Below are 8124 nucleotides of genomic sequence, written 5' to 3' on the forward strand. Positions count from 1 at the left end.
GGAAATAAAAGTATTTTCCTTATGATAACAGATGAAAAAATATACCTGTCTCACTGCTGGTAAACTCTTCCAAGATTAGAAGGTGCCTCTTTTCAACGTGACTGGCATATGAATAGAAGGTGTGGAAGCCATTGCTATTGGCAGGGGAAATCAAAGATTTGGCATTATGGGTTTTCCTGCATTTCACAATAATTTCAGTGTCTGGGGGCTAGTTCCTGGGAATTTAGCCTCTACTCTAGGAAAAGGTATGGGTGAAGATGCTGGGGGGTGGGGTGGGGCGGGGCTACTTTCCATTGTAGCTACTTGGAGGAGAGAGGGACATTTGGCAAATTCCTGCTAAATGTCAGGAGCTTTACAGCCATTATTTTTCTTGGTCTTTTCAATAATTTCGCAGAAAGTATTATTTTTTCCAGATGAGAAGACTGAGGCTCAGAAAGATTAAGCAATTGTTCCAACTGCCCATATTTAAACAGAGGTTGCATTGTAATTAAAATGAGGTCTGGATCATAGCTAAACATCCCTTCAGTTTAACTAAAATTTTGCATGAATCTTTTAATCTTTCATTGATAACCATCTCCAAATGACTATTCATGACTAATCTTGGCTTAGCATAGTACTGCTACAGTGCTTTCTCACTTATTCTCATAGCCTGACTACAGATTGCAAAGTCAAGTACTCTTTCCCCACTCTTGACAATCCATTCATCTCCTGTGAGTATGGATTTAGTGACACCTAATGTCTTGAGAGCTTGGGGGGTCAAGGAGAAGTCTGCCCTTCAATTGTCTTAAGCCAGAGTGGCGAAGAAAGAGATCTGGTGCCGGGCCATACTCCCCAGTCTCTCTCAGCACGTCCCATGACTTTTTCTAATATCCACTGCTGTCTTTCCATTCTAGAAAAGAGAAAGATGATCCAAGTATCTGTATGGAAAACCTAAGGCATTGGGGGTCTCCTGGGAGTCTGAAGCAAGAGGACTGAGATACCCTCAGAGGTATTGAGGTACCCTCAGTAAAGGGCAGCAAGACATGACTCCTGAGGAGAGTGGAAAAGCCAATGTTTATTCTGGCTGCCTTCAATTCAGTCATTGCATTCCACATCTCTCTCAGGCCTTCCTAAGGTCCCAAATGTGGACAAGTGTGGTATGAATAATCTGTATGACACTAAATATTTCCTTTATCCAGGATGGGGCAAAGAGGAACTTTATATAAATAAATATCAAGGGGAAGTGGTAACATAGTTAACAAATGGCAGCTAAGTTACTTTCTGATGACTGCCCAAGGTCTCTCAAAGTACCATTTCTGCAAAGCATGTTGTTGTAATCAGCCTTCTTGGATTAATGCTCAGAGGCAGTAAACAAAACACAAAATAAAAAAATATATACATGACAAGCAGCTGGCTAGTACCATCTAGTGGTAGCAAAGAAGCAATAACTTTTAAAATGACCTTTTAAAATGCGGAAAGGGGGAGACTGAAACCATCCATTCCTTTCTGGGGACATGAATGGTTTACCACGAAGGTGTAGAGCTTCATTTTTGTCCATGGGAGCTGGAGAGTGGCTCAATGCCAGGACGCTTTTCAGAGAGAAGACAGCTGAGAGAGATTGAGCTGCATTTCGAGATGGGCTTATTTCAATGCCTGAGATAGGGGCACATAAAATTGCACACATAGCTCATTTTCTGTTTGGTTGTCTCTTGTGGGAAGGAATGGTGCTGCTGATCTCTGGGAGAGTTTGGGGGTTTCCTGAAAACCAGCTACTTTGTTTATAAACATTGCCATTCAAAATCCAAGTCCTGGATAAAACTCTGGCTGTGGCAATTGGTTTTGGAGACTTTGTTGTTTGTGACACCTGCCTCCTTGTATCTTAGGCAGAGTTTCAGAGCAGCAAATGCTTGCATGACATTTCTCCAAAGGATTTTAGTTGATGATCTGCATTCCACTGAGCAAATAATTGTCATTGCTATGGTTTATTCAATACCTACTGTGTGCCAGGTACTGTGGTGAGCCTTTTAGCTGCATTGGCTAATATGATTCTCAAGACCATTTTGAGGCAGGTATTCTTTGTCTCATTTATATAAAAGAGAAGTGGGGCTCAGAGAACTCATATGACTTGCCCAAGATCACAGAGGTCATGGAGGTCGTGCTGGGAGTCACTCGCACGGGAAGGTATCTGACAGCCACTGTGGAGGATGAACTTACAGCTTCAGCACCGTCCCTATCCTCAGAAAGCTTATGATATTTTTAGGAAGGTAGGACATGCACAAAAATAGAAATATACCATGAGGGCCTGTGCAAGATGGTTATGTTTCTGGAGATTGCTGACAAGGCTATTGAGTCTAAGAGACAGGCTGAGACGTCAATTCCCCTATCCCCATATGAATAGGCAGCCAAGCCACCCAGAATCATTCGCAATCTCTCCTTCCTCATTGAATGATGTTTAAATGTGCCTGACTTGTTGATCATCAATGAGGTGGCACCTGCTGGAGTAAGAAAATGTTGTGATCAAGAAGATGGATCTGGTGCCAGGACAAGGTGGACTAGAGTAAAGATTCTGGGGCCAGGGAGATTCATTAGGAGGAAGTTGTGAGTCACTCGGGTGTCAGGAGATGCACTGAAATGAAGAGACAGCTGTGGGGATGGAGAGGACGAGCTGACAGGCCAGACACTGTAAAAGAACCAGAGAGAGTAATTGGGCCCTGTTCCTTGAAAGATGAGGAACAAATATGACTGGTGAGAAGGGGAAAAGGCTGTGTGGGTGCTTCTGGGTGTGTGTGACAGTAGGTGTGTGAGTGCAGATGTGTATTTGATTGTGTGTGGGGCAGTGTGCAAGTGTGAGTGTGGGTGTGAATGTGTGTGTGTGTGTGCATCAATGTGTGTATATGTGTGAATGAGTGTGTGTATCTATGTGTGAGTGTGTGTGGGCATGGATATGTGTGAATATGTGTGTATATGAGTGCACATGTGTGAAGGTATGTGTATGTGAGTATGTGTGAGTGTGTGTGGGCATGGATATGTGTGAATATGTGTGTATATGAGTGCACATGTGTGAAGGTATGTGTATGTGAGTATGTGTGTGTGTGTGTGGGCATGAATGTGTATATGTGTATGTAAGTGTGGATGTTAGTGTGTGTGTGTGAATAAGCATGTGTATGTGAGTGTGTGGGTGGGTGGGAATGTGTGACTGAATATATGTGTCTGTGAATGTGAATGTGTGTGAGCATGTGTGTGTGTGTGTGTGTGTGTGTGTATGGAGATCTATCAGGAGAATGTTGTACCTGGTCTCTGAGTTGTTTGTAGAAATGGGAAACAGCTTCTTTTCTCTAACCCATATTGTTTGAGCAGATTGAGCTCTCTAAAGAGATGTTTTTATATAAACTAAAACAAAAGGTGTCTCTTTATTGGATGTGGTAGACAAGAAAACAAAAATTGGAACCAACATCCTATTTTCCTTATTATGTTCCTTTGATTTCAAGGCAAATGGTCTCAATCAAGACATTCCCCACTCTGGACTGAAGGGGCTGGTGGTGGACACCATGTGAATGACCCACCCTGAAAATGACTTGAAAGTTACAAGGGCAGAGCTCCAGCTGACGGCAAAAAGGAGACAGGCCAACTGTAAGGTTTCCACTTTGTGACCCAGGTTTAATCTTCTTACAGTGTGCACTGCACACACATTCACACATATACAAATACACATGTGCACATTCAAACACAAGCACACAAATTCGCATGTGCACATACACACATGCAAACATATAAACACATATGTACACATGGAAACACACAAAAACACACACACACAAATACACACCTATGCAGACACAGGTACATATACATACACATACATGCACACATACACACACAAACATACACACACATATACACAAACACACACATGTACACACACAACACAGCAGTGCTTACTCAGAGGGAATTACAGCAGAAGCAGCAGGAGGTGTTTACTTCTCACTTGATACACAAAACCCAGGCAGAGAAAAACATGTACTTATTATTAGCACAACTTATAAAATCTTGCTCGGGTGTGCAAAATTAGTAATACAAGGAAGTGGAACTATTTTATGGCCAGGGTTTTCTGACCACTATGTCAATTAATTTATATAGACCCATACATCCTATATTAAGTGTAACTTTCATTCCCTCTTTCCCGTGGTGAATGACCCAAAACTTTTAGAAAACTCTTCAGACAAGCAATAAAATAAATTCATCGTTGTGCATGTTGGGTTTGAGGTGATGGTGGAACATCCTAGGTTTGAAATGATTTCTAAGGAGCAGGTTGGAGTGGAGCTTGGGTGAGAATCAGGGCTGGAAATATGAATGTGGAAATGAGCAGCATAGAAGGACATTTTTATTAGGAATTGGAAGAGCTCACACATAATTCAGAAAAACAGCACCACCGGGAATGTCAGCTAATATTATTAGGTAAAATCACTCAAAGAATGCCAGCATTTAATGAAGACCCCCTGAATGTACTTTTATTAAATTGCAAGTGATATGCTCAAAGGGTACTGAATTTGTTGATGCAAGTTTACTTTTTTTAGTCACATGAAATTAGGTTCTCCCTCATTTGTGAACCACTCCCTTAGAGAAGGGCTATGTTGAGATGACCCCAAACTACCAAGTTGTAATTAATTTGGGGCTTGCAACAGGCCCAGCAAGTGATATAAATTGCTCTAGAATTGAATTATGAGTAGAAATCAAGCATAGGCAAGTGAGGAGAGACGAATATGGAGACAGGAGGAAGAGAAACTTATTATTATGCTGTGGCCAATTTCATTATGCTGTGAAGGTAAGACATAATTTGGAATCATTAATAGTTATATGAATCCCTTCTGAACTCTTGGGTTCTGAGGTTAGTTTTGCACTAGTAAAATAGTTGCCATATATGTCTGACTATAAGGTGAGTTTATCATTTTTTCTTAAACAATTATCACTTAGAGAAGAGGGACTTTGATATTACATGGTATGGGCTTTATTATTAATACTTAATTTTGAATAATAAAGATATATTTGGGAAAGACACATTTGCCTGAAAATACCTTAAACAATGCTAATTTTGAAAATTTTTTAAGGTCAGCTGATAAAATTTTTTAAGACAAAAATTTAGCATAGTTTAAGTTTAAATTATTTTAAACACAATTTAAATTGTAACATTTCACTTGTACCCCTGTGTATATGATCATGCAATTTCAAATGTTGAATATAAGGAAGGCTTAAAGTTTCAAAGATTACTTTTAGGAGGAATACAGTAAATGATAATGTAGAGGTTGCAAATAAATACCTATAAGACACACAAAACAATTTTCTAAAAAAATATACACAAATTGGCTTCTTGTGGCTTGAGATGAGGTATTCATTGACGGCCTCCACACAAATGGAAAAGAACCATCTCTCGATCAATTTAGACTGTAAGAAAGACATGGGCCCTGGACCCTGTTCGAAAAGTGAGTCAAGCAATGGTGAAAGCAATAAAGACAAGATGCGAATGAGGCATTCGAATAAAATTGTTTCAAATGCAATGTTGCTAAATTAATATAAACTTACTCTTTTAAGTCTGTATGTGAAACTAAATGAATAAATTAGATAGTAGAATTTGCCTATTTGTTTTTTTCCTGTTTATTTACATTTAATTAATAAAGACAATAGAAGGATGAGGTTTCAGTATTCTCTTCAAATTTTATTTTAAGTGATGTTAATTACAGTATTTGAAGGGAAGGTTCTAATTCCACACAAAATGGAAGAATATAAAGTGTGTTCATTAAACTGCTAAAAAATAGAGTGGTGAGAATACAACAGAAGTCCAATTTAGATTCTGAGTGTTGTCACCATGTTATTACAATCACACAGCCTCTTCCAAACTTATAGCTGGAGCTCCCGGTAGCTATTTCCTACTCTGGTCCAAGGACCAAAAACCACAATGTAAAACTGAATTAAGTCCTGAATTATTGGCTTCATCACATGCACCCTCTTCCACCTCAAAATGGCAAAAAAGAAACAGTTACCACACCCTGCAGACCTTTTGGTGTAAAAGAGGTGTTGATGAACTGGAGTAGAAACAGGTCATAAAGAGCTGTCTTAAAAAGTCCCTTTCAGGTGAGTTTGTACACACCATCTAGCAAGGAGCCTCTCATCAAGTAGGGTTAGGTAACCACGGTTCATTTCTCAGGAAGTCACAATTTCATTCATTTACTCAATATGCATTTACAAAGTGCCTACATATCATCAGCTTCCAATTGCAGTCATTTCTAGATAAAAAAAGGAACCTGATCTCTAGAGGGGCCACCTAGCTCCCCAAGTCTACAGCTGAAAGGATCTTTTGTGGAATTGGGTTTCTTCTCTACTTCTGAAAGGGTAACACCTTAAAGCTGAATTGTCTTTACAACCTGAAGGTCTGATATGATATTTAGCAATATTTGCATCCTGGACATACAACATTGAAAGATACACTAAATTCTGAAGGTAGCTATGCTTCAAAATACTTTAAATTAAACAATTGTACAGTATTCATTTAGGCTTGAATCCAGTCCTAGACTGAGCTTGTGGCCACTGACATTGATGTTCTTGCCATCCAGGAGAGCTGACAGTGTCTGTTTGATACCTGGCTTTAGGGTTGTGAGTGTATCCTACACCTATCAGCTTGGTGTAAAAGAGGTGTTGATGAACTGGAGTAGAAACACCTCCAGGTTGGATGTGTTCACTTTACCTGCAAAGCAGTCTTCGGAGTCAATCTGATACTTGGCTGCTATTCTGAAATGAGTGTTATTGTTTCCTGCTGTCCAGGAGAGATTGACAGCGCTCTCCAATTTCTTGTTCACCTTCTGGTAAATGGAGCCACTGAACTCTTGTCCTGTCATTCACATGTGTGAAGCTAGAATTCATCAGTCTTGTAGCCAACCACAAAGTTGCTCTGGGTTACTCAGGACTCTGCAGTCTCAAAATTCATTTGGTTGCCAGCCAGCCAACCTTCCTAACCCGGCACCAGCATGCCCCAGATTAAAGGCCCAGTGATGTCCAAATCCACGTTGCAGCCCAGGCAGATGGGCTCCCGATCGTACCCTGTCTTGATTTTAGCACGTTTTTTCCCCAGTGTTAGGTAAGAAAGATGAATGGAAGGTCAGCTTCAGTCCACATGCAAGCTGATCTTCATGGCAGTCTTGGTGCCTCACATGTTGTCAGTGTTCCATTTCCCCATAAATGCCGGACCACACTCAATGCTTCTGTACTTGGTTTCCAGGCTGCCCATCACTTTGGTGGTCTCAGTGTGGACTGAACCCGAACTTGTAAATTCCAGATTTTGTTTTTAAATAAAGTTTCATTACACCAAGTCCATAGCTTCGGTGAAGGGATCCCTGGTAGATTTGCCAAGATTGCCATGTGCGAGTGGCACAGCCATCCTCTGCTCAGAGGTAGTGATGATGGCCTCCAGCAGCCATGGCGGGAAGGTATGGATATTTGCCTATTTGTATTAAGACTGTTTATATTTCAATAGGTCAAAATTATTTTGGGGGATGAGAGAGAAGAAGGTTAAAAATTTCATTTGAAACCTGGAGAAAAGCTTGCTTTTTGTCATCTCCCCATTCCAAAAACTGAGAAGGCCACATCTCATCACTGGGTAATCTTCACAAGTGACCAGTGGCTTTGTGTGCACATAGGAGCCTGGCATCAAAGAAAGATGTAATGCAGGGAGGAATTTGCTCTGTCACAGTCTCTAGCCTCTCTTTCACCGGAGTTGAAGTGGCTCTGGCTTCAGCAATTTCTGTTTCAGCCTGGGTCCATTCTAGGTGGTATGAACATGCAGTATTTCTCAAACTTTTCCGAAGAAGGACCCACCTTGGCAAAAGAGCATGCAGACTGATGCCTGGACATCTTGGGATGTCTTGAATTTCATCTTAAAAATTTATGCAAATTTTACATTCTGTGGCATAACTAGATGTTATGGCATAGGACCATGCGTACCCGAATGGTGACTGATACACCCAGTATGGCACAGGCCCAGGCTTTGGAGTCTGAAAGATATAGTGGCCTTGCTGCCTATAACAAGTTGATCTTGTAATGTAAACACTGTGAGCTTTGATTTTCTTTTCTTTTTCTTTTTTTTCTCGAGACAGGGTC

General features: G+C 40.6%; 1 long non-coding RNA gene and 1 pseudogene across 1 annotated transcript in view; one reads left to right on the forward strand and one right to left on the reverse strand.

The window, feature by feature from the left end:
* LOC124903153 (uncharacterized) overlaps nucleotides 1-5608 on the forward strand; it is a 51749-nt gene extending 46141 nt beyond the window's left edge. The window contains exon 2 of the long non-coding RNA XR_007063754.1: nucleotides 3468-5608. This is a non-coding gene — a long non-coding RNA (uncharacterized LOC124903153). The remainder of the gene's footprint in view (nucleotides 1-3467) is intronic.
* Nucleotides 6872-7405, reverse strand: VDAC1P12 (voltage dependent anion channel 1 pseudogene 12; annotated as a pseudogene).

This window comes from Homo sapiens, chromosome 13 (genome assembly GCF_000001405.40).
Source record: "Homo sapiens chromosome 13, GRCh38.p14 Primary Assembly".
NCBI classification, from domain to species: Eukaryota; Metazoa; Chordata; class Mammalia; order Primates; family Hominidae; genus Homo; species Homo sapiens.